This window comes from Homo sapiens, chromosome 9 (genome assembly GCF_000001405.40).
Source record: "Homo sapiens chromosome 9, GRCh38.p14 Primary Assembly".
Classification (NCBI taxonomy): Eukaryota; Metazoa; Chordata; class Mammalia; order Primates; family Hominidae; genus Homo; species Homo sapiens.
In genome coordinates this window covers 137,464,269-137,490,496 of record NC_000009.12, presented here as the reverse complement: position 1 = coordinate 137,490,496, position 26,228 = coordinate 137,464,269, and the positions used below count along the sequence as shown (strand labels likewise).

Genomic DNA, 26,228 nt, shown 5'->3' with positions numbered 1-26,228 from the left:
CTTCCTCATGGCCTCTGTTGCTTCTCATGAAGGATCCAGGTATCCAGATGTTCTCCAGTAGGTAACGCATCATTTCTCTCTAGCTGTGTTCAAGAATGTTTTGACCAGGCACAGTGTCTTACACCTCATCCCAGCACTTTGGGAGGCCGAGACAGGAGGATTATTTGAGCCCAAGAGTTCGAGACCAGCCCGGGCAACATAGTGAGACCCTGTCTCTATGAATAAAATTTGAAAAATGATCCAGGCATGTTAGCACACACCTGTCGTCCCAGCTATGCAGAGGGTTGAGGTGGGAGGATCGTTTGGGCCTCGGAGTTCGAGGTTACAGTGAGCTATGATCGCGCCACCGCAGTCCAGCCTGGTCAACAGAGCAAGACCCTGCCTCAAAACACACACACAAAAAGGTGTTTTTCTCTGTCTTTAGTTTTCAGAAATGTGATTTGGAAGTGTCTGAGCATGAATACTTTGGATCTGTCCTGTTTGGGGTTTCTTCGTCTTGGACCCGTAGGTTTATAGCTTTTAACACATTTTGGAAGTGTTCAGTCTATATGTCTTCAAACGATTCTTCCACTCGTGTGCCCCTCCACCTCTTCTGGAAATAAAGTGGCACAAGTGTTAGACCTCGCGTTATTGTCCCCAAGGTCTCTGGGGCACTGCTCATTTTTTAAACCTTTTTTTTCTCTCTCTGATGTTAAGATGGAATTGTTTCTTTTGATCTATCTTCAGGATCTTTGGCTTTTTGTCATCTCGATTCTGCTTTGAGGCCTATCAGAGAGTTTTAAAAAAATGTTCTGTCATCGTGTTTTGGTTCTTCTGTGTGCCTCCTGTTTCTTTGCTAGGACGTTCTCTCTTTGTCTTTGTTTCAGGAGTGTTCAGGATTGCTGGTTCTAGCTGGTAATGATAACAGCTTTATCGTCCTGGAGAAATAATTCCGTCTGTGACATGCGGTCGTTTTTATCTGTGGATTGTTTTTACTCCTCTGGTTCAGATCCTCCTTGCTCTTGGCATACTGGGTCACCATGGATGTGGCCTGGTCACTGTGGACCCATCCTGGTCACTGTGGATTTTGTGTCCTGATGTTTTGAGTGTTAGGCTATGAGACTCTGGTTCCCATTTAAGTCTTCAATTTTCACTGTTAGTGTGCTTGTATTCACAGGGCATGTCCTGGCCAACGTTTGTGGAGTGTGGTTTGAACGTGAACTGACCCTGGTCTGCCTACTAGGTGCTGCCCAGGCCCAGTGTGAAGGCTGCATTCTGCGCCATCTTCAGCTCTCAGACCCGAACACCTGACCCTGGCACAGGCTGCGTCTTCATTACAGATTCGAGGCTTTCTTGATCTCCTACCTCTAGTTGGCAGGAGGTGGGGCCTCCTCTGCTTTCTCTGCAGGGGTGCACAGTTGGGGGGATGTCTGCTGGTCAGGGGGTGCACAGTTGGGAGGGATGTCTGCTGGTCAGCGGGTGCACAGTTGGGGGGATGTCTGCTGGTCAGTGAGTAGACAGTTGGGATGTCTGCTGGTTAGGGGGTACACAGTTGGGAGGCATGTCTGCTGGTCAGAGGGTGCACAGTTGGGGGGATGTCTGCTGGTCAGTGAGTAGACAGTTGGGATGTCTGCTGGTTAGGGGGTACACAGTTGGGAGGGATGTCTGCTGGTCAGGGGGTGCACAGTTGGAGGGATGTCTGCTGGTGTGGGCGGTGGACAGTTGGTGAAGAGGTTTCCTGCTGTGGGTGGTGGACAGTTGGGAGGATGCTGGCTGGTCGGGGGGTGCACAGTTGGGGGGGGATGTCTGCTGGTGCTTGCTTGGTGCCAGTCAGTGTCCCTAGAGGCAGCTCCCATGGGGAGGGAGGGACAGACCCCTCCGTCTGTGGCAGCCATGTGGCTGGGAAGCAGACTCTGCTTCTTTCTTGGCCTGAGTCAAGTGGTTCCTCCATGAGTCCGAGGTCCCCGGCCAGCCTGCCTTCCTCTCCATCCTTTGGAGTCTTGCGAGAGCTGCCTCGAGCTCTGTCCCTCTCTGATCATGACTGGTGACAGGTGGCCTGTGTCTGCTCCACCTCCCTTCTGGCCCAGAGCCAGAACCTCACCAGTGCTTTTTCCCAAGGCTAAGGCCATATGGAACTAGCAATGGCCTCCCCCATTCCGCCTCAAATGAGGACTCTGACACCTCAGTCCCTGGAGAGGCGAGAGGAAAGGGATTCCCAAGGAAAAGCTGCAGGAAAAATAAAAATAAATCCACATCAGAGAGCCACGTTCGGGCCGAAGCTCGGGACGAGACATCAGACCGCGAGAGCCGCGTTCGGGCCGAAGCTCGGGACGAGACATCAGACTGCAAGTGAAGCTCGGGACGAGACATCAGACCACGAGAGCAGCGTTCAGGCCGAAGCTCAGGATGAGGAGGCGGTTCTCCGTCTTTCTGTGCTCAGCAGCACTTTGGTGTGTGTGTGCATTGTTTGTTTGCTATCTGGGAGTTATTTCCTCCTGATTATAGAAGCCACCTGCCTTCCACTCAGCGCCTAGAGGCGGAGACACATCATCTGGGCCTGAGTCCCCCGCTCCTCCCGTGTGGCCAAGGCTCAGCTGCAGTGAGGGGCTGAAGTGCGTGCGGTGAAGGTGATGCTGGGGACACCTCGCAGGGCGTGCCAGGTTGTGGTGGTGGCCCAGGCTCCTGAGATGCCCCTGACAGGCAGGTGGAGGCTGGATGGGACGGCCTCTCGGGGGCCAGCTGGGGTTGGGTAGAACTGGAGGCTCTGTGGCTGGCACAGCCGGTTCCGTGCCGGTGTGGCTGGTTCCCCCAGAGGAGCAGAGGCTGCCAGGAGGAACACGTGTGGAGGGTTTTATTTTGCTTCATTTTTCTTGTCTGTCATTGTGGAGTTTTATCACAAAGGCTGTGTAGGCTGCAAAAAGACCTAAGAGCCCCCAGGCACGAGATGAAGACGTGGGCGCCTCCCTCTTACAGCTGCTCAGGTGGTGCTGAGGCGCCAGTGCCCCGGTTCTTTTCCTGCACAGACACAGCTGCACATGCGTCAGGCAGGGTCCTTTACTGGGGCTGCCGGTTTGGGTATTTACTCCAGGGCTGGGGTCCCCTCCAGGGGTCCATGAGCCCCACGGCGACACTTGGCCAGCCCTGCACTCCAGGCCGGCACTTTGGGCCACTCAGCTCCAAGCGCTTATCCCGACCAGGGCCCGGTGTGGATGCCTCTGCACGTCTCCAGCGCTGCTTGGTCACAGCCCTTGGCAGAAGCTGGGTGCGGTCTGTGAACAGCTGGGGATGCAGCTGGGCTTTGCAACCTCCAGGCAGAGATGGGCACTGGACACTGAGCCCTTGGCAGCCGGTGCGCAGCACGCAACCGTCCATCCCTGGCTTACCTGCTGGGGCCAACCAAGCACTGGGCCCTGTCGGAAGCTGGCACCGTGCTCAGGAAGCCAGTCAGGAAAGAACCTTCTCCTAGAGCTGCAGTCGAGTTGGGTCAGGGATGAAATTGGACCAAGAAGGCAAAAGAGATGGCTCAGAAGGGCGGGGGGAGGGGCAGGGGCACGCAGGTGGTGGGGCAGCGCTCCCTGAGGAGGTCAGGACCCTTGGGGCCAGGAAGAGAGCTGTGTGGTGTGGGGGTCACCAGCAGCTCTCAGGGACCGCAGATGGGCTGAGGCTGCAGACTCTGGCTTGTTCTGAGTGGGGAGGGGCACCAGGGGCTTTGAGCAAAAAAGGCTCCGGGCAGACTTGGGCGTCGAAGGCCAGCTCCGGCCACTGTGCACAGAGCGTCCTCTCAAGCAGGCGGCTGAAGCCACCCCAAGGCTGGGCGGTGGAGGCCCAGGGCTCCCGGTGCTGAGTTGGACTGAGGGCGGGGACTGAGCTTTGGTGGGTCGGGTAGGAGCCTGGGGCCGGAGGTGGGGGCCGAGTCCGAGGGAGGATCTGGGGCTGTGTGAGTCTTGGACACTCATTCGGGATGTGGGATGGGCAGCATCATTTATCTGTTTCTGCCTGCATACAGGTACGGGTGTTTTTCTTTTGGGAGGCCTTGAGTATTTATTTAATAATGGAATCACATTTATAAACCACTCTGCAGCTTTCCTGCTCAGCAGCACGTCATCAGCTATTTTCCTGTGAGCACATGATTGCCGGCTGTGCGCTGGTTCTCCGAGCCATGTTCCCCGTTCACAGGCTCTTACCCGCAGTGCTGCCACGGCGCCGTGTGCATCCCAGGATCTTGCAGGTGTCCGCTGGCCGCCGTCTGCAGGGAGTGGCCCTTAAGCCCTCACTTGGTTCTGTGTCCCCAGGCTTGCTCTCCTGGCCTCTTCCCTCACCATGCCGCGTCCCCTTACTCTGACCTTGGCCAATCAGGACCTGCGTGTCTGGTGGATTTTGGAAGCCACCTCACTGGGGACGGGAGACATAGGCCAGGGGACAGCCTGTGAGAGGGCTGGGCCACGGGGACTGCAGAGGAGGAGCATCCACGGCACCTAGATGCAGGAGACCCTCGTGGGCAGGAGCGTGGCTGGTGGCGCGGTGGCCTCAGGAGCAGTGAGGCCGTCCCCTCAACCTCTTCTGTGGAAGCAGAGATGCCACTCGCCAGACGGCATCCAGTAAAGAGGGCCTGGGACCCTCTGGGGGACTCTCAAGTCCCAGACCCCCTGGTCCATGTCCTTGCCACTGTGCTGGCCGAGGGGCCCCTCAGCCCACATGGGGCCCAGGGAGAGGGTCCTGCCTGTCTGGGCGGGCCCCTTGGTGGGCCCTGGAGGCTCCAGTCTCAGGGAGAGGAAAGCCTGGTCTGCCTTGACACCCTCACTCGCGTCTCCGGGGTCTCCAGGGCCTGGCCCAGGCTTCCCAGGGCTGCGCTGTGCTTCCTTGGTTTCTGGAATCCCTTGCAGATGACAGACAAGAGAAACGGGCCTATTGATGTCTAGCCCGTGTGTTGTTTACTGTTCCTGGAGTGAGTGGTGGAAAGCCCTGCGACGATTGGTTCAGAGGATAAGGCCTCACCTGGAGAGTATGTCTTGTTTACTCCGATGAGGCCTCACCTGGAGAGTGTGTCTGGTTTACTCCAATGAGGCCTCACCTGCAGCGTTTGTCTGGTTTACTCCGATGAGGCCTCACCTGCAGCGTTTGTCTGGTTTACTCCGATGAGGCCTCACCTGCAGCGTTTGTCTGGTTTACTCCAGTGAGGCCTTACCTGCAGCGTTTGTCTGGTTTACTCCGATGAGGCCTCACCTGCAGCGTTTGTCTGGTTTACTCTGAGCCTCACATTCCTTTCAGTCGCTCCGTGAATCACTGTCTTTGGTGGGTCAGGAGGAATCCACTCCCTGGGCCTGGGCCTGGACCAGTGCTGGTCAGACCTGCTGTGTGGGGCCTGGGGACGCTTGCAGGTGTGGACTGGCAGCTCATCAGGAAGAGCTGGGGAAGGCGTGAGACCAAGACAGCCTCCGGCCTGGAGAAGGCGTGAGGCCTAGGCAGCCACATGGCTGGGGACAGCGTGAGGCCCAGGTAGCCTCTGAGGGTTGGGGGAGGCATGAGGTCCAGGCAGCCCCTGAGGGCTGGGGAGGCGCAAGGTCCAGGCAGCCTCAGGACTGGGGAGGCGCGAGGTCCAGGCAGCCTCAGGACTGGGGAGGCGGGAGGGCCAGGCAGCCTCAGGACTGGGGAGGCGGGAGGGCCAGGCGGCCTCTGGTGCTGCTGCGTTGCTCCTGTGCAGCCTCGGGGGGCCCCAGGGCATCTGGAGGCATCTGTGAGCGTGTGGGCTGTCCCAGCTGACGTGGGTCCTTTGCTCCACAGGCCACCAGCTTGGGCTCCCCACGGAGGGCAGCAAGTGGGACTTGGGGAACCCGGCTGTCAACCTGTCCACGGTGGCAGTGATGCCCGTGTCAGAGGAAGTGCCCCTCACCGCCTTCGCCCTGGAGCTGGAGCATGCCCTCAGCGCCATCGGTAAGCCTGAGCCTCCCAGCCTCCAGCCATCCTTGGGTTCTGGGCCTGGTGGAGGGCGCCTGCCGGCTGCCCTCTGTCTTCGAGGGGACGCGGCGGTGGGTGGGCAGGGCTCAGTTGGGGTCAGTGTTCGGTAGTGTTTCCAAATTGCTGGCAGCTGTTAAATTTGGGGATTCAAGGGCAAGGAATTGAATTTCCTGAGAACTCTCAAAATTCTAAGTTATTCTATATTCTTTGCAACATTTTATTTACAAGTTTTCATGTGATGATAGGGACCATGATGATAGACAGGAAGTCAGTTTTCTGTGGGTTTAAGGTTATGCTAAAAATTTCAGTGTTGTCTTGGCAAAATAATGCAATAATAATGAATGCGGTCGGGCGCGGTGGCTCATGCTTGTAATCCCAGCACTTTGGGAGGCCGAGGTCAGGAGTTCAAGACCAGCCTGGCCAACATGGTAAAACTCCATCTCTACTAGAAATACGAAAATTAGCTGGGCGTGGTGGTGCGCATCTGTAATCCCAGCTACTGGGGAGGCTGAGTCAGGAGAATCGCTTGAACCCGGGAGATAGAGGTTGCAGTGAGCCAAGATCACACACCATTGCACTCCAGCCTGGGCGACAGAGCAAGATTCTGTCTCAAATAATAATAATAATAAATGCAATGAATGTTGTATAATTATTATAAAACAATATATTGTGACAAGAGTATTTCAGAACCATGTGAAAATGCTCCCTCCTGATACAGACATTTGGTAATAGAAAACAATACATTCAAAAAATTTATAATATAGAAAGATGCTACTATAAACATCGAATACTTATAAGTTATTCTCAGCCACGTGCGGTGGCTCATGCCTGTAATCCCAGCACTTTGGGAGGCCGAGGCGGGTGGATCACTTGAGGTCAGGAGTTCTAGACAAGCCTGGCCAACATGGTGAAACCCCGTTTCTACTAAAAATACAAAAATTAGCTGGGCGTGGTGGTGGAAATGCCTGTAATCCCAGCTATGTGGGAGGCTGAGGCAGGAGAATCGCTTGAACCCAGGAGGTAGAGGTTGCAGTGAGCCTAGATCGCACCACTGCACTCCAGCGTGGGTGACAGAGCAAGACTCTATCTCAAAAATAAATAAATGAAAGTTACTCTCAAAACAAAATTTTAAAACACATAAAGCATGGATTGCCTTGTCTGATGGCCTTGACCGTCGTTACATGACACATATTCCCAGTATATGCAGAAAATCTTACTCATTTCCGGTGACATCAGTCAGAGTATTCCAGGTATGTCCAAAAACATCTTCGAGTTGTACGGTGGAGCTGTCCCGCGTCACATAAACTAGTTCCCTTTAGAAACATCTTCGAGTTGTGCGGTGGAGCTGTCCCACGTCACATAAATTAGTTCCCTTTAAAAAACACTTTTTAAGCCAGGCGTGGTGGCTCACGCCTGTAATCCCAGCACTTGGGGAGGCTGAGGTGGGAGGATCACTTGAGGTCAGGAGTTCGAGACCGGCCTAGCCAATATGTTGAAACCCCGTCTCACTAAAAACACAAAAATTAGCCAGGCTTGTTGGCAGGCTCCTGTAGTCCCAGCTACCAGGGAGGCTGAGGCAGGAGAATCGCTTGACCCCGGGAAGTGGAGGTTGCAGTGAGCTGAGATGGTGCCACTGCACTCCAGCCTGGGCAACAGAGTAAGACTCCGTGTCAAAACAAAAACAAACAAAAAACCCACTTTATTTTGAAATAATTATAGGATCGGAGAAATTGTGGAATAGTAAAGAGAGACCCCATGTGCCCTTCGCCAGGGCTCCTTCACGGGCAGCGCCTTAGGGGGTAACATCGAGGCCGGGACGTTGGCGTTTACGCCATCTGTAGACCCCTTGGGCCCCAGCAGCCCGTCCGTGCCCTCCTGGGTGTGTGTGGTGCAGTGTGGTGTGGGTGCCGTTTCTGTGACCTGCACCACACGGGGCCACTCTGTCACGGAGGAGACCCTGCAGGTGGCTGCCATGTTGTCACCCAGCACCCCGGCTTGCCGGCAGCCCTGGATCTGTTCTCGATCTCTATAATTTTGTCATTCTGAGAAAGTGATGGAAATGGAACCACACGGTGTAGCCTCTGCAGACGGCCTTCTCCCACTCAGTCACGTGCACGCAAAGTTCCTCCTGGCCTTTTCCTGGCCTGGAGCTCAGTTCTTTTTGGTGCTGAGTCATCGTCCGCTGCCTGGACGCACCACAGTTGATCTGTTCATCTACTGGAGGGCATTTGGCTGCTTCCAGGATTTGGCAATTATGAGTGAAGCTGCTGTAAACACCTGTGTGCGTGCTTCTGTGTGGACAGAGGTTTTCAGTTCCTTTGGGTAAACACCAAGGAGCATGATTGCTGGATCCTGTGGTCGGAGTATGTTTAGTTGTAGAAGAAACCACCAAGCTGACTTCCAGTGAGGCTGCACCAGGCTGCAGTCCCACAGCAGTGAGCAGGTTTCGGCTGCTGCACATCGCACCAGCATTGGGCTGGATTTTCAGCTCAGAGCTGTCTCTTGAGCCCAGGGGGCATTCTAGTTCAGTTGTAAGAGGGGCCCTTATTTTGTGTGCCTCTAAGAAACAAATGTTGCTAGTTAAGGCACGAGACACATTGATCTGATCTCTAGTTGTTGTTTTTTCTGAGATGGAGTCTTGCTCTGTTGTCCAGGCTGGAGTGCAGTGGCGCGATCTCAGCTCACTGCAAGCTCCACCTCCCGAGTTCATGCCATTCTCCTGCCTCAGCCTCCCAAGTAGCTGGGACTACAGGCGCCCGCCACCACACCCAGCTAAGTTTTGTATTTTTAGTAGAGATGGAGTTTCACCGGATCTCCTGACCTCGTGATCCCTTGGCCTCCCAAAGTGCTGGGATTACAGGCGTGAGCCACCGCGCCCAGCCGATCTCTAGCTTTTAATTAGAATTAGACCTCCCTGCTTCCCACACATGGGGCTCTGGGTCCTTTCCCACCCGGCACTGCCAAGCAGCACCCCCTCAGGCTGAGCCCCTCATCTTAGCTTCTCCCCTGAGCCTCTGGTGGCTGTGATGCCAGGGCTGACACTGGCGCCCCTGGTTGAGAAGGGCCCTGACAGCCGTGCCCATGTGGAAGATGCATACGAACAGGCATGTCAACACTGGGGACCCTGGCCTCTTGGCGTCTGGCACCTCGATGATCTGGGTTTTGGAAATTACGTTATCTCCCATCGCACAGCCTTCCCTGCCCTGCACACGTGGCAGGACACAGAGATTCCACTGCTGCTCGTGCTGGAGGGGACCGAGGCTCAGAGAGGCTACCCGAGGCCTCCTTCAGGGCAGATGGGAGGTAGCATCAGGCCACAGGCCCTTCCCCACTGGCAGGTGAAGAAGGCTTGGCAGTTGTGCTCAAGGGGAGCAGACCTTGGGGTTGGGGAGTGGACTCTCACTGCCTTCCTCCTCCTTGGTGCCTGGCTGGGCGTCGGTGCCTGGCTCGGCGTCGGTACCTTGCTGGGTGTCGGTGCCTTGTTGGCGTTGGAGGTGGGCTGCCCAGGCAGGCTCCGTTACTGGTGGTGGTGTTTTCAGGCCCGACCCTGCTGCTGACTAGTGACAACATAAAACGGCGCCTTGGCTCCGCTGCCCTGGACAGGTGCGTGCCGCCAGCCCCGACTCCTTCCTCCCAGCCGGCCCAACGCAGCCCTGAGATGTGTCCCCACTGTGTCCACATCCAGCATCTGCACTGCAGCGTGCTCCTCGTCCAGCACACTGTGGTGTGAGGGCTGATGACGTGACTCCCTTCACTGGACACACTGGGCAGCGCTGACCTGCTGGGCACTGTCAGGCCTCCCAGGGGACCCCAGCCCCCGCTTCCCGCCTGGGCAGCCCCGGGTCTCACTCTCCCCAGCCTGCCCCTCAACGAGCCTCAGCCTCTGGGCTTAACTGCAGCCTCTGCGTGACTGCCTAGGCCCTGAATAACTCACTGCGAACTAGCGATGGCAGGAAGTGCTGGGCAGGGAGGGGAAGGGGCAGCGGCTGGTGCTGGCCTCTGCTGCCTCTTTGCCCCGGGGACATGTGCTAAGAGTGCCAGGCCCCTGCGGAGTAGTGAGGTACTCCCTCTGCGTGCTGCAGTGTTCACGAGTACCGGCTGTCCAGCTGGCTGGGGCAGCAGGAGGACACCCACAGGATCGTGCTCTACCAGGCAGATGGCACGCTCACACCCTGGACCCAGCGCTGCGTGCGCCAGGCCGACTGCATCCTCATCGTGGGCCTGGGTGACCAGGAGCCCACAGTGGGCGAGGTGAGCACGGGGAGGGCCGGTGGAGCTGGGGAGAGCCCTCTCTTCAGAACCTCCTGTTTCTCTTTTCCTTTGAGTAAAATACTGCACAAACTCAGAAAAAGACAGATGATAAGAGCCAACACTCAGATATCTGCTACCCATGTTTTAAAAACACGGTGCTGTATTGACCTCCAGGGGTTCTAGCACGGAGCAGGGCAGGTGCCCCACGTGGCCTCTTGTGAAGCCGCAGCCTCCGGCCGCCTTTCGCACTTTTACAGCAGGTGCGGGAAGCCTTTTCCAGGACTAACCTTTTACGTAAACGGTGCCCTATTTTGTGTCATCTGAAGTTTGCTTTTCTCCACAGCACTTAGGTGTCGGCGTCGTTCCTGTTCCTCTCACTGCTTTTTCTGGCTGCTTAGTTTTCCTCTTGTGAATGCCTTACCCTCTGCCTCTGCATCCTCAGCCAACAGGAACAGCCTTCTGCAGGCACCTTCGGGACGCTGGCCCCAGGCTGTGTCTGCAGGTTCCCAGATGGCAGCAGATCACTGACCTGATTGCTTCCTTCCACCTGGCCATTGCTGCAGGCGAGGCCTCGGGCTCATGGCCACCCAGTCCTGTTCGTGTTCTCCAGCTTCCTGCCTTCAGTTTGCATTTCCCGTCTCCCTCCTCTGCTCCCTGCTCTGTTCTCATCACAAGCCTGCCTGGGCTAATCCTGGGGCAGCTAAAAATTCCTCCTCTCTGATGTATGTTCCTGTTCTGCAGCTAGTGATGCTCCCTTGTGAGAGTTTGTTTGCAAAATACCTCATTTGGAAAGGTTGCTGTGTGTGTTTATGAGGCAGTGTTAGAGAAACAGAAAGAGGAGGCGTCCCCCTCCTGCCGTACTGACCTTGCCCAGCACACAGTGGACGGATGGACCCCTGCCGTCAGAGCTTCGGCAGCGCCAAGGCAGACCAGGCCACAGCCAAGTTGCTTTGCAGAACCCAGGAGCTGCTCCCGGGGTCCTGCCCTCAGACCCTCTGTGCTGGCCTTCAGCTCCGTCCTGTCCCGAGTCCCAGGCTCACCCGGCTGGCAGACACGTGGGCTCTGCCTTTCAGCTGGAGCGGATGCTGGAGAGCACAGCTGTGCGTGCCCAGAAGCAGCTGATCCTGCTGCACAGGGAGGAGGGCCCGGCGCCAGCGCGCACCGTGGAGTGGCTCAACATGCGGAGCTGGTGCTCCGGCCACCTGCACCTCTGCTGCCCGCGCCGCGTCTTCTCCAGGAGGAGCCTGCCCAAGCTGGTGAGGCGGGGAGAGGAGGCTGCCTGCCCGTGGCTCCGTGGTTCATTTCCTCGAACGTTCGAAGCATTCTTCACATTCCCCACCTGATTCCCTGACACCTGCGCTCCTGGGCCCTTCCTGTGCTTGTGAACGTGACCCTGCCTCACGTCTCCTTCATCTTGCCCTTTGGGCCTCTGGTGGCCACGGCTAGGAAGCAGCCGGTGCAGTGGGGGCAGGCACAGGGCGGCCATCGGGCTGGGGGCTCAGCGAACCCCGGGGATGGGCCTGAATCAGGGGGCTCAGCAAACCCTGGGGATGGGCCTGACGTCAGGGGGGCTCAGTGAACCCTGGGGGATGGGCCTCATGTCAGGGCTGCTCAGGGCTGAGGCTGAGGCCCCCACATCCAGCTGATGAGGGTGTCCTCAGGCCAGCGCTGCTCCCTCCTTTGGGCAGAAGGCCCTGAGACTTTTAATTCCGGTGTCCTCAGGCAGCCCAGGGGCCTGAGAGTGAGGGGTGTGGGGAGTCTGCTCATGCTCACGGCCCCCAGCCCACAGCTCTGTCCAGAAACCCACGCCCTGAAGGCACCATCTGCTGCAGGATAGAGGGACCCCAGTGGGAACAGCTCTGAGGATGCCTTCTGGCCCCCCACCCGGGCCCACTCTCTGGCCCCCCACCCGGGCCCACTCTCTTGCCCACGTACCCTCTGCCAGTGTCCTCCCCCCAGTAGCTGAGCTGTCTCTGGGGCCCGGTCCGGGCACTGAGGTGCTGACCAGTCGTATCAGGCAGGGCCTGCTGCATGCTGGAGAGGATTTGGGGTCAGTTTGGGTCAGAAGTGGAGGAAACTCCCCCCAGTCAAGCCAGGATGCGAGGTCTCGGCCGAGGGTGGGGCCCTGCACCAGCCCTGCCTGACGGCTCCTCCCCCAGGTGGAGATGTACAAGCATGTCTTCCAGCGGCCCCCGGACCGACACTCAGACTTCTCCCGCCTGGCGAGGGTGCTGACGGGCAACGCCATTGCCCTGGTGCTTGGGGGAGGGGGAGCAAGGTGAGTCCCCCCGCTTCCTACACACTCCTCACTGGTGTGTGTGGTGACAGTCGCCCCCTCGGGTGCTAGGAGGTGCTGGGTGCGGGGGACAGGGGGTGTCACCCGCAGACGAGACCCTCAGGCCGCCTGTCCAGACCCAGCCTCCACCCCGGCCTGTCCTCTGAGCAGGCCCTGCAGACCCTGGCACATGCGGTGTGCCCACTGACACCCAAAGTGGCCCTGGTTTTATTAGGGCCAGTTTAGTAGAAGACATATCTCGTTTTGACTGTCTTTGCTTAGAAGTGGTTGCTTGGGCCGGGCGCGTGGGTCACGCCTGTAATCCCAGCACTTTGGGAGGCCGAGGCGGGCAGATCACGAGGTCAAGAGATTGAGACCATCCTGGCCAACGTGGCGAAACCCAGTCTCTACTAAAAATAGAAAAATTAGGCGTGGTGGCGCGCACCTGTAGTCCCAGCTGCTTGGAGGCTGAGGCAGGAGAATTGCTTGAATGCAGGAGGCAGAGGTTGTGGTGAGCCAAGATCGTACCACTACACTCCAGCCTGGCGACAGAGCGAGACTCTGTCTCAAAAAAAAAAAGAAGCGGTTGCTTGTTGGCCCTTTGCACCTCCTCCTCTGAAACCTCTGCTCTTTCCTTAGCCGGTCTTTCCCAGCATCTGGTGAGTTTCCTTCACTCCAATACTTGATAAAGAATGATCTGCTTTGCCCAAACTGAGTCCTTCAGGGACTTTAAACCCAGATACCTCCTCCCCTGCCTTGTCGTCAGACACCACCTTCTCCTGAACTTGAATAAATACCCTTGGAACAGAGATGGAGCCTGGGAGCCACGAGGAGGGTGGGACAGGCATGTGCCCCTCTGCTGAGCCAGGTGCGTAAGGGGCAGGGCGGAGCCTCCTACCGCTGCCCCCAAAGGAAGGGAGGACATCGAGGGGTGCCTGGGCGGGGGTCCAGGCCAGGGCTGCCTTCTGGGGTGGGGCCTCTCCGGCAGCCCCTCCCATCTCCCACGGAGTGCCAGCACTGCTACCCCGGGAAAAGCTCGGAGGTGGCCCCAGGGCCTCGAGGATGCTTCTGCTGGCCCCAGGGCAGGGCCCTGTCAGCCTGGGGCTGTTCTAGGTGATGAGGTGCCCACTGCATCCTTCTGTCTAAGGGACTTTCCACCTTGTCTTGTGCCACATTTTCTCTTGAAAGCTGCGGAAGTTGGCCTACAGCAGTTCAATGGCTTGCCTGAGGTTGCCAGGCTGGGGACAGGACCCAAGTCTCTTTCTGTGGGTCTGGGACAGTGCAGGGACTTGGAGCAGTTGAGCCCAGGCCACATCAGCAGCATTTTTAATGAGAAAGTAGCTTTGATCAAGGTAATACTTAGAAGCCATACGGTTCTGTAAGGCACGTAACTGCAGTCCTTTGCCTTCCTTCCAGCACCACCTCCAGAGTTATCCCAGAAATAACCATGTCCAGTGTTTTGAGCTGTCTGCTTGTCTGTATTTCTAAATCATATTCCTATTCTACTAAGTTTTTGGTTTTTTTTTTAGTTTTAGATTGTTGACTTCTTAACCCCCTTCAACACCCGCAATCAGAGTCTGCTAACTATTGATTAATCACTCATCTATGCATCTGTCTCCCTCCTTTCCACTCAATCCCAGTGTGGTCCCATCACTAGTTAGCCAGCACTCACTGTCTGTGTTGTTATGACACTGTGGGTGTCACTCAGAACTAAGTCACATCCTATCCTATCCTATGATTGAAGTTCCTTCCTTGGAGTTAATAATTGTCACATTTGTTCAGTTTTCTGGGTATCCTTAATTTACCCGAAGACACTGAGGCAGGCATTAACCTCCTCTCGGTATGTTCGGACATACCACTCATCTCTGTTTACTTTTCAGGAGTCATCCTCCCGAAAGCCCTCTAGCCTCTTCGTATCTCTACTGGTTGTTTTCTAACATGCTGCTGAGATGTTGGCCTGGAATTTTCTTTCACCACCACCCTGGAAACTGCCTTTGTTTCTCTCCTGTGTTCAATTCCATTTCCTGTAATTTCATGTCTTCTTTATTGGTTTATTCCTCATTTTGGTGGATATATGTTCTAGAAATCTCCCTAGGAGAAGACGCATGGGGAAGTAAACATTTTAAGACCATGCATATCAGCAAGTGTCCTCATTCTATTCCCATACTTCAGTGATAGTTTGGCTGGGTATAGAATTCTAGATGGAAATAAATTTCCCTGAGAATTTTAAGGCATGGTTCCATTGTCTTTTTAGTTTTTTGTATTGCTGTTGAGAAATTTAATGCTATTTTTATTCACAGGGCCGTTTTTTCTTCTGGAACCTCGTAGGAGATTCTTTTTTTTTAAAAAAAAAACAGGTTCTCAGCCAGGCACAGTGGCTCACGCCTGTAATCCCAGCACTTTGGGAGGCCAAGGTGGGCAGATCACAAGGTCAGGAGTTTGAGAGCAGCCTGGCTAACATGGTGAAACCCCATCTCTACTAAAAATACAAAAAATTAGCCAGGCTTGGTGGCGGGCGCCTGTAGTCGCAGCTACTCAGGAGGCTGAGGCAGGAGAATGGCGTGAACCGGGGGGATGGAGCTTACAGTGAGCTGAGATTGCGCCACTGCCCTCCAGCCTGGGAGACAGAGCAAGACTCCATCTCAAAACAAAAACAAAAAACAAAACAAGGTCTCGCTTTGTTGCCCAGGCTGGCGTGCAGTGGCAATCATAAGCTCACTATAGCCTCAACTCCCAGCTTCAAGCAATCCTCCCCACTCAGCCTCCCAGAGTGCTGGGATTACAGGCGTGAGCCACTGTGCCTGGCCTGAGACTCTGCACTCTTGGTATTCTGAAAGTGCATGATGGGCCTTCATGTGGCTCTTTTTGCATCCACTGACACTGGATTCCCAGTGGACCCTTTCAAATTTGGAAACTCACAGACATCAACTCTGGGAAATTTTTAATTTTTCTAAATGAAAATGTTTACCTCCCTCTTATCTGTGTTCTCTCTTCCTGGAGCTTCTTTTTTTTTTTTTTTTTTTTTTGAGGCAGAGTCTTGTTCTGTCGCAGTGAGCGATCTCGGCTCGGCTCCCTGCAAGCTCCGCCTCCCAGGTTCACGCCATTCTCCTGCCTCAGCCTCCCAAGTAGCTGGGACTACAGGCGCCCCCACCACGCCCAGCTAATTTTTTTTTTTTTTTTGTATTTTTAGTAGAGATGGGGTTTCACTGTGTTAACCAGGATGGGCTCGATCTCCTGACCTCGTGATCCGCCTGCCTTGGCCTCCCAAAGTGCTGGGATTACAGGCGTGAGCCACTGCGCCCAGCCTTCCTGGAGCTTCTGATGGTCAGATTTGGGGCATCTTAGATGGATCTTCTAATTTTTAGTCTTTTCTCTCCCCTATTCTTCATCTCTGTCCTTCTGTTCCACTTTCTGGAAGATTTTTCTCAAATGTACTTGCAGTTGATCTTTTCTGCTAAAACATCTCTGAGGTCCGCGTGCGTTTCCCCACGGCACTCCGGTGTCCTCCAGGGCTGCCTCGCGCTCCTGAGAATGCTCGTCGCCTTCCTTGTGCCCTCCTTGCTTGCTCAGATTTTCCACGAGGCGCCTGTTGGTGTCTGGCGTTGATCACGCGACATAACGTGCCTGAGATTTGTCTGCACTCCTGACTCTCAGCAGTGGCAGTGCCGGGCCAGCTTCCATGGTGCCCTCCCCACGCTTTGCTTATCCCCCTTCCTGTCGATGCACAGTTGGTTGGTTTTCTGGTTTTGGTTATTACAAACAAAGCTGTTATCACCAATTCTTTTGTTTGTTTGTTTTGAGACGGGGTCTCGCTTTGTCGCCCAGGCTGGAGTGCAGTGGTGCAATCTCAGCTCACTGCAACCTCCACCTCCTGGATTCAAGTGATTCTCCTACCTCAGCCTCCCCAGTAGCTGGGGTTACAGGCACCCACCACCACACCCAGCTAATTTTTGTATTTTTAATAGAGACGGGCTTTCACCATGTGGGCCAGGCTCGTCTTGAACTCCTGACCTCAAGTGATCCACCCACCTCGGCCTCACAAAGTGCCGGGATTACAGGTGTGAGCCACTGCACCCAGCCCCAACTCTTGTTCAAATCCTTCTGTGGACACATTTCCTTTCCTCTTGGGCAAATGCCTAGGAGTGTAAGTGCCCGGTCGTGGGGCAGTTGTATTGTTTTACACTCCCACCAGCAATGTCTGAGAGTTCGAGTGACCCACATCCCCACCGACCCTTGGTAATGGCAGTATTTTAAATTTTGCCCATTCTAATGGTCTGCAGTGGTGTCTCACTGTGATTCTAATTTGCATCCCTCCGATGACTGATGACGTAGAACACCTGTTCATGAGCTTGCTGGCCATTTGTGTGTCTTCTTTTGTGGAGTATCCATTTAAGTTCTTTATTCCTTTTGTAATAGGTTTTTGTCTTTTACTATTGTATCGAAGGAGTTCTTTATTCTGAACACGAGTCTTTTGTAGATACATTTATTACTGATATTGTCCTCAGTCTTGGCTTTTCTTCTCATTTTCTTAATGGCATCTTTGGATGAACCATTTAAAATTTTGAAGTGTGATTTTCCAGTTTTTTTATGGTTATTAATTCCAGTGTTCTGAGAGCTTCAGCCTATCCCAAGGTCACAGAGGTACTCTTCATCTTCTTCTAGAAGATTTTCTATTCTATCCTGTATGCTTAAGTCTGTGAGCCACCTCAAATTGATTTTCATGACTGGTGTGAGGTGGGAGTTCACTTTTCCCATGTGGTGTCTGGTTGCTCTGAATGATATGGTTTGGCCATGTCCCCACCCAAATCTCACCTTGAACTATAACTCCCATAATCCCCATGTGTTGTGGGAGGGACCTGGTGGGAGGTAATTGAATCATGGGGGCAGGTCTTTCCTGTACTCTTCTCGTGATAGTCTAACGGGATCTGATGGTTTTACAAAGGGCAGCTCCCCTGCACATGTGCCCTTGCCTGCCACCATGTAAGATGTGCCTCTGCTCCTCCTTCACCTTCCACCATGATTGTGAGGCCTCCCCAGCCACGTGGAACTGTGAGTCCATTAAACCATTTTTTTTTCTTTTTTGAGACGGAGTCTTGCTCTGTCGCCCAGGCTGGAGTGCAGTGGTGCAATCTCGGCTCACTGCAACCTCCACCTTCTGAGTTCAAACAATTCTCCTGCCTCAGCCTCCTGAGTAGCTAGGATTATAGGCATGTGGCACCACACGCGGCTAATTTTTGTATTTTTAGTAGAGACCGGGTTTCACCATGTTGGTCAGGCTGGTCTCAAACTCCTGACCTCGTGATCTGCCCGCCTCAGCCTCCCAAAGTGCTGGAATTACAGACATGAGCCACTTTGCCTGGCCTAAATCTTTTTTTTTTTTTTTTTTGAGATGGAGTCTCATTCTGTCACCCAGGCTGGAGTGCAACGGTGCAATCTCGGCTCACTGCAACCTCCGCCTCCCAGGTTCAAGTGATTCTCCTGCCTCAGCCTCCCGAGTAGCTGGGATTACAGGCACCTACCAGCACACCCAGCTAATTTTTGCATTTTTAGTAGAGACGGGGTTTCACCATGTTGGCCAGGCTGGTCTTGATCTCCTGACCTCAAGTGATCCGCCCACCTCGGCCTCCCAAAGTGCTGGGATTACAGGCTTGTAATTTATAAAGAAAATGAGGTTTAGGCTGGGTACAGTGGCTCAAGTGCTGGGTAATCCTGCTGAGCCACCGTACCCAGCCTCCATCTCATTTTCTTTATAAATAACCCAGTCTCAGGAATTTCTTCAGAGCAGAATGAAAATGGATGAGTACACCTTCCCTCCCTCCTGAACTGCTGAGGCCCCTGTCAGATCCAGTGGCCCAACAGGTGTGAGGCTGAGGCCTCCATCAGATCCAGTGGCCCTGCAGGTGTGAGCCCATCTGGACCTTGCTGGGTTCCACTGGTGTGTTTCTCTATCCTTAGTGCCAGTGGCCCTGCAGGTGTGAGCCCATCTGGACCTTGCTGGGTTCCACTGGTGTGTTTCTCTATCCTTAGTGACAATACTACACTGCCTTAGTTACTGTAGCTTCACAGTCAGTCTTGGCATCGAGGAGTCATCTAGTTCCTTCCATTTTCCATTTTTCTTTAATTGTTTTGGCTGTCCTAGGCCCTTTGCATTTGCATGTGAATTTTAAAATCAGCTCGTCAGTGTCTCCAAAAAGAAAACCTCCTGAGATTTGGATGGAGGAATACATTGAATCTGTACATCATTAGTCGACAACATTGAGCCTTCCAGCCCACAATCTAGACAGATCTCCCCATGTACTTAGGCCTTCTGTAGTTATGATCAGCCATGATTTGCGGTCTTCAGTGTAGAGGTCTTGCACATCTTTTGTTAACTATATTTCTAAGGGTTTTACAGGCTTTTAAAAAAGTATTATAAATGGTATCTTTTTTTTTTTTTTTTGAGACGGAGTCTTGCTCTGTTACCCAGGCTGGAGTGCAGTGGCGCGATCTCGGCTCACTGCAATTTCCACCTCCCGGGTTCAAGCAATTCTCTGTCTCAGCCTCCTGAGGAGCTGGGATTACAGGTGCCTGCCACCACGCCCGGCTAATTTTTGTATTTTTAGTAGAGACGGGGTTTCACCATCTTGGCCAGGCTGGTCTTGAACTCCTGATCTCATGATCCGCCCGCCTTGGCCTCCCAAAGTGCTAGGATTACAGGCGTGAGCCACTGTGCCCGGCCATAAATGGTATCTTTTAGACTTCATTTTCAAATTGTTTGTTGCCAGTATATAGAAATACAATTGATATTTATAAATTGATCTTATATCTTACAACCCTGCTAAATTCATTTATTCTTGTAGCTTTGTTGTAGATTCTTTTTGACTTTCTAGACACATAGTTAAATTTTCTGAGATTAAAACAGTATTTTCTCTTCCTGTACAATATGCATATGTACGTTCTTTCTGTTTCTTCTTCTTGCCTTACTGTGCTGGTGGGAACCACCGCTGCACTGTGGATAGACGTGGTGGGCGCAGACACCCAACCCTCATTCCAGGCGCGGGAGCAGGTGTTCAGCCCACCACTGAGTGTGATCTTGGCTGTTGGCATTTTGTGGCTGCCCTTGGTCAGACTGAGGAAGTTCCCTTTTATTCTCAGTTTCCTGAGTTTTTTAAATCATGAATGGTGGTTTTTGTGACTCTATCGAGATGATTGTATTTTCTCTTTAATCTGTTAATGTGTTAATTACATTGATTTTCAAATTAAAATGAACATTGTGCTCCTGGGACAGACCCATTTCGTCCTGATGTTAAAGTTATCCTGTTTGTATATTGCTAGATTCTACTCAAACCTGAGTAAGACTGGACTGAAATTGTCCTTTTTTGAAATGTCTTTACCGGGTTTGGTATGAAGGTTTGTTTGTTGGCTTCATAAGCTTAAGTGGGAAGTTCATCTTCTTTTCCTATTCTCTAGAAGGTTTTTAAAAAATTTTTATTTTTACTTTTTTATTTTTATTTATTTTCTTTGAGACAGTGTCTCATTCTGTTGCCCAGGCTGGAGTGCAGTGGTGTGATCACAGCTCGCTGCTGGGATTACAAGTGTGAGCCGCTGCGCTCAGCCAGAAATGGAATCTGTAACTTTTAAATCCCCACAAAGAAAGTTTCATATCCAGATGGTTTCACTGGTGAATTTTATGAAACGTATAAGGAATAAATAAAACAAATTTTACATAAAACCTTCCAAGAGGCCAGGCGCGGTGCCTCACACCTGTAATCCCAGCACTTTGGGAGGCCAAGGAGGGAGGATTTCTTGAGCCCGAGAGTTCCAGACCAGCCTGGGCAACATAGTGAGACCCCATCTTTATAAAAAATGAAAAGATTAGCTGGGTGTGATATGGTCGTAGCTACTTGGGAGGCGGAGGCAGGAGGGGGATCACTTGAGCCCAGGAGGTTGAGGCTGCAGTGAGCTGTGATCACACCGCTGCACTCCAGCCTGGGTGAGAGCTAGACCCTGTCTAAAAATAAAAATAAAAAATAAATAGATTAAATTTATTTAATCTTTACTGAGTTACAGTACTACTCATATGTTCTATTTCTTATGTTATTTTGGTGAGTTAGGTTTTTCTAAAAATGTGCCCATTTTATCTGAATTTTTCTATTTATGGCATGAAGCTGTTCAGTATTTTAAACTAAAGCATCTGCACCAATGTTCCCATTTTCTTTCCTGTTCATCATTGATGCTTTCTCTCTTTCATTTCCTTGATCGGCTTCACCCGGGCTGTCCGTCGAATTGGTCCCTCCAACACCAACTTTCATCTTTGTCAATCTTCTCTATGTTTGTTTTTGGCTCTTTAAGTTATGCTCTTATCTTTGTTATTTGCTTAATTTTACTCTTTTATTTAAGTTGTTCTTTTTTCCCTAACATTTAGACGAGCAGACATTGTCTATAAAGAAACAGATAGTAAATATATACTCTCTCACAACCACTCAGAGGATAGAAAAGTTAAGGTAACGCATCTTTTATTTTCTCAGGCTCGCTTAAAGGTTTTTTCTTTCCTTGGGTTTTTGACAACATGAGAATGGTTTTCTTTTGATTTATGTTAGGATTTATCATGCTTCCTGATTCTGAGGCCTGATGTCTGTCTGTAGAACATGCCACACTGTCTCTTCAGATACAGCTCCCTCCCTGTCTGCTTTCTGTGGCTCTGATCACACATACATTAGAGTTTGGTGCCAGATCCCATGTTTCCTAAACTCCCTTACAGATTTTGTAAAACAATATTGTTACATATTCTGTCCTCTTGATGCTTCATGATTCAGTGACTGTTTCTGACCCATCTTGTATTTTACCATTTCTCTCTTCAGCTGTTCTGTTCTGCCGTTAGACCCACTCATTGAGCTTTTCATTTGTTATTATATTTTTCACTTCTAGAATTTTCATTTGGTTTTATGCCAGAATTAACACTCTTGTTTTTAATTCCTTGAACTTGGGTTTTTGTTTTTGTTTTGTTTTTTCTGAGACGGAGTTTTGCTCTTGTTGCCCAGGCTGGAGTGCAATGGTGCGATCTTGGCTCACTGCAACCTCCACCTCCCAACTTGAACTTGTTTTTAAGGCTTATACCTGAGTAATATTCTGTGGCAGTATTACATATGGTTTTTTTTATTATGTTAAAATATACATAACATAAAATTTACCACTTAACCATTTTTGAGTATCCAATTAAGTATTAATATATCATATTAATATAATTAATGATACAATGTTGTTACAATGTCGTGAAATGAACAATTGCCACTGTTCATTTCCAGAACTTTTTTATAGACAGGGTCTCACTCCAGTCCAGGCTGGAGTGCAGTGGTGTGACGTCAGCTCAGTGTAGCCTTTGACGTCTTCCCACCTCAAATCTGCCCCCATGATCCAGTTACCTCCCACCGGGTCCCTCCTCCAACACTGAGGATTAAAATTCAACATGAGATTTCGGTGGGGACAGAGAGCTAAACCACAGCAAATGCCTCCAGGGTCCCCCCCAGCTGTGGCTTGCATCCGAGCTCCCTCCTTAGAGCTGGGTGCTCTTCCCTTGTCTACTTTGTACCCATTCATCAGCTGTTGCCACCTTTTGGCTCCCTGCACACTTTAAGCGTGGTCATTGTAAAAGCCTGTGTCTGTATCTCTTACCTGGGAGGCACTCTGGGCCCACTTTCATTGTCTGTTTTTTCTTTTGGCTATGAGGCCAAAAGGAAAGCCTATATGAGGCTTTTCTTCTCATATGACTGGTAATCTTTGGTTGAGTGGTGGACATTCTGTATGAAAGCAGCAGTAGCAATTAGAGGCCCTGGGTGCCGGCTGCCTGGTCTCGGGGGTGCCCCCTGGTCTCGGGGGTGCTCCCTGGTCTCATGGGTGCTGGTCTACATCCAGCTCATCTGACTCCTGGGGTGCTGCCCCTCAGGATGCTTCCCAGGCTCCTCCCTTCCAGGGCCCCTCAAGTCCAGTTTTCCCACCACCTCTCAGACGCCCTGCTGGAGGCAGCCGTGTTTCCGGGTAGAAGAGGCCAATGCCGGTCAACTCTCAGGACACCTTCCTCCCCATCCCAGCCTCACAGTCCCTCAGTACCTCCAGAAGGAAGGATTTCATTTATTTAATTAATTTATTTATTTATTTATTTTGAGTCAGAGTCTCACTCTGTCTCCCAGGCTGGAGTGCAGTGGTGTGATCTCAGCTCACTGCAACCTCTGTCTCCTGGGTTCAGGTGATTCTCCTGCCTCAGCCTCCCGAGTAGCTGGGATTACAGGCGCGCACCACCACGCCTGGCTAATTTTAGTATTTTTAGTAGAGATGGAATTTTGCCCTGTTGGCCAGGCTGGTCTCGAACTCCTGGCCTCAAGTGATCTGCCCGCCTTGGCCTCCCAAAGTGCTGAGATGACAGGCGTGAGCCCGGAAAGAGGGGTTTTAAACTGCATCTGGAGTCCCTCTCTGCGTCAGCGTCTCTGCCTGTGGAGGAGTTGGGAACTGAGGATGAGCACAAGGCCTCTGCAGGGCGCAGCCTGGGCCTGGTACTCACTCCTTGCTCTGTGTCCCTGGCTGGTGTAGAGGCTGTGCCCAGGTGGGCGTTCTCAAGGCCTTGGCGGAGTGCGGCATCCCTGTGGACATGGTGGGAGGCACGTCCATCGGGGCCTTCGTGGGTGCCCTGTACTCTGAGGAGCGGAACTACAGCCAGATGCGGATCCGGGCCAAGCAGTGGGCCGAGGTAAGCAGGCACCCATCACCCTCACCGGAGCACAGCCCCCAGGTCCTTGCTGGTGCTGGGGGACGCTGGGGCCGTTGGCCTCTGCATGTGGCTCTGCAGGGCCCTGCCCTCGAGGAGGCTACCCCCTGAAGCCTCCCAGTGCAGCTTGTGAGGCAAAGGAGCACCACAGAGAAGGCACAGATGCAGGTTGGTGGTGGGAGGCGGTCTGATCTGTGCCCAGGTCTGAGTTGGTGGAGACGGTGGTGGGAGGTGGTCTGATCTGTGCCCGGGTCTGAGGTGATGGAGACGGTGGTGGGAGGCGGTCTGATCTGTGCACGGGTCTGAGATGGTGGAGACGGTGGTGGGAGGCGGTCTGATCCGTGCCCGGGTCTGAGATGGTGGAGACGGTGGTGGGAGGTGGTCTGATCCGTGCCCGGGTCTGAGTTGGTGGAGACGGTGGTGGGAGGTGGTCTGATCCGTGCCCGGGTCTGAGGTGATGGAGACGGTGGTGGGAGGTGGTCTGATCCGTGCCCGGGTCTGAGTTGGTGGAGACGGTGGTGGGAGGCGGTCTGATCCGTGCCCGGGTCTGAGTTGGTGGAGATGGTGGTGGGAGGTGGTCAGATCCGTGCCCGGGTCTGAGGTGATGGAGATGGTGGTGGGAGGTGGTCAGATCCGTGCCCGGGTCTGAGGTGATGGAGATGGTGGTAGGAGGTGGTCTGATCCGTGCCCAGGTCTGAGTTGGTGGAGGTGGTGGTGGGAAGTGGTCTGATCCGTGCCGGGGTCTGAGATGGTGGAGATGGTGGTGGGAGGTGGTCTGATCTGTGCCCGGGTCTTAGATGGTCGAGGTGGTGGTGGGAGGTGGTCTGTTCTGTGCCTGGGTCTGAGGTGGTGGAGACGGTGTTGGGAGGCGGTTTGATCCGTGCCCGGGTCTGAGATGGTGGAGATGGTGGTGGGAAGTGGTCTGATCTGTGCCCGGGTCTGAGTTGGTGGAGGTTGACGATGGGAGGCGGTCTGATCCGTGCCCGGGTCTGAGATGGTGGAGGTGGCTGCAGGATGACATGGATGCCAGGATTGTGGAAAAGAAGCTGACTGTTACAGCCCCTGGGAATAAGAGGCATGGAGCCTCCATGGGGGTTTCTGACCCAACGGCCAGGCAGGGCAGCGTGAGCAGCTGAGGATGGGCTGACTGAGTCCTTCAGGCACGCTGGGGGCCGTGGGGCTGTCCCTGGTGCATGGCACCCGGCCTGGGTTGATTTAGGGCAGGGAGATGTTGGCGTGGGGATGTGAGATCAGGTCAGGGCGGCTCAGTGTCACGGGGGAGATGTAAACTACTTTGGCCACTAGTCTGGCCTTGTGATAAATGGATTCCAGAATCAGAATACCAAATACAGAATCAAAGACAACAGTGAGAACAGGCTCCCCTCGGGCAGCAGAGGGAGGCAGCCAGGCTCCGTTCCCCAGCAGACGTGGCCACCGTCTGCCCTCCTCAGCGCTGCGCTTGCTTTTGTGGAACAAAACCGAGCTTTGGTTGGAGCCATGAGTGGGATCAGAAGGGTTCGTGTTCTCCTTTTAAAAGGAAAGAAAATTCGTCACCCCCTGTGCGGCAGCAGCTCCCAAGCAGGCCTGTGCTGCATTCACGTGGCCCGGGGCTGCCACCAGCCCCAGCAGCGAGTCCCAAGGCCACTGACACCTTCTCCCCTCTCTGTTCAGAAATGTTTCTTTCCCTAAAATGAGTCACCTAGTCACCTTCAGCGTGGCTGCTCAAAAGAGGGCTTGGGGACTGGCATGCAGCAGGACGGCCCCAGGGACAGCGTCCTCGGGACAGAACCCGCCATGGGCAGAGGTGGCTCCGAGCCGGTCCTGTCCCAGAGTCACCTGGTGGCCCTCTCCCTGTCCCTCCGTCTGTGGGTCTGGGGCTGGGGGGCCAGGTGTGGGAATGGCCAGAGCTCTCTGGGCTGGTCCTCTTTCCGTGCTGGGATCACTGGGCCCTGGGAACTGGCCGGGGCAAGGTGAGGCCGGGGCTGTGTGCCTGCCCCTCATGCTGAGGAGAGGGGACAGTGGGCGTGTGGTCTGGCTTATCTCTGTGAGCCCCTCTGGTACTGGGCAGGGGCTTCCTCAGGGAAGGACCGGGGTCTCCTCTGCCTGTGGCCGAGGCGTTCTCACTGCCTGCATCACACGGTGTAAGCACGTCCAGCCCACACTCCAAGCGCTTCCCTCCCAGCCTCCGTCCCCTGAGCCCTGGCTCACTATGGCAGGGAAGACCCTTCCTCTCCATCCACACTGGGCATTGAGGCTAGTTTGAGGTCAGTCTCGAGTCCTGCCTGCCTCACTGAGGAAGGATGGGCCCCAGGCCCACCCAGAAGGAACCCAAGAGAGCCCGGCTTCCCCGGGACCCCTGATGGAGTACCGCAGTGGCATGTGAGCCAGGGCTGGGTGGCTCTGACCTTCCCGAAAGCAATCCACTGTGTCCCCCTGGCCCAGGAACCTCATGTGCCCAGCAGCCCGCCCCGAGCTCTCCTCCTCGCTGACCCTCCAGCCACGGGCATGGGCAGGCCTTGCCCCAGAGCTGAGCAGGCAAAGCCGAGGAGGCCCCAGGCATGGGGGCGCTGCAGAGCCTGCGAGGGTAGGGCCAGCGAGGGCTTAGGGATCAGGAAGGGACCGAGGGTGGGCTGTGTCCTGGCTTTCAGGCCCTGGGGCGACCACCAGCCTCTGCTCACTCTGAGGCTCCAGCCAGGGCGCCAAGCCTCAGGACCGTGGGTGGGGCCCAAGGACACTCTGGACCCCCGTTCCATTCATGAGAGGCCCTCAGCACGCCACGTGTCTGCTGTGGCAGCCCGCAGGGAGGGTGGAAGCCTTCTGTAAATTCCACATGTGGCCCCAGGGCATGACGTCCTTGATGAAGGCCGCGCTGGACCTCACCTACCCCATCACGTCCATGTTCTCCGGAGCCGGCTTCAACAGCAGCATCTTCAGCGTCTTCAAGGACCAGCAGATCGAGGTGCACCCCCACCCTCAGGAGCCCATGCAGCCCCCAGTGCCTGTCCCCTCCTGGCCCCCCACCTCTTGGCC

The 26,228-nt window shown here is 53.9% G+C and overlaps 1 protein-coding gene across 12 annotated transcripts in view, besides 1 other annotated feature; it reads left to right on the top strand.

Moving 5' to 3' along the window:
• Positions 1–26,228, top strand: part of PNPLA7 (patatin like domain 7, lysophospholipase) — a 90,451-nt gene that overhangs the window by 59,906 nt on the left and 4,317 nt on the right. For 4 of the 12 annotated variants that reach the window (XM_047423367.1, XM_047423366.1, XM_047423365.1 and 1 more), the window contains 7 exons: positions 5,761–5,910; positions 9,474–9,537; positions 10,017–10,185; positions 11,259–11,441; positions 12,345–12,463; positions 23,024–23,180; positions 25,993–26,157. In XM_047423367.1, coding sequence (XP_047279323.1) covers positions 5,761–5,910; positions 9,474–9,537; positions 10,017–10,185; positions 11,259–11,441; positions 12,345–12,463; positions 23,024–23,180; positions 25,993–26,157 — 1,007 coding nt within the window. Of the gene's footprint in view, positions 1–1,156; positions 1,361–2,237; positions 5,475–5,760; positions 5,911–9,473; positions 9,538–10,016; positions 10,186–11,196; positions 11,442–12,344; positions 12,464–23,023; positions 23,181–25,992; positions 26,158–26,228 lie in introns of those variants that run through there. The other 8 variants (NM_152286.5, NM_001098537.3, XM_006717102.2 and 5 more) reach the window with 6 other exon arrangements.
• Positions 6,209–7,408: an enhancer, noted in NCBI's record as "MED14-independent group 3 enhancer chr9:140377541-140378740 (GRCh37/hg19 assembly coordinates)". NCBI's record gives its function as "activates an origin of replication core promoter dependent on BRD2, BRD4, P300/CBP and CDK7 cofactors, and independent of MED14, by STARR-seq in HCT116 cells {active_cell/tissue: HCT116}" and the evidence as "EXISTENCE:reporter gene assay evidence [ECO:0000049][PMID:35650434]".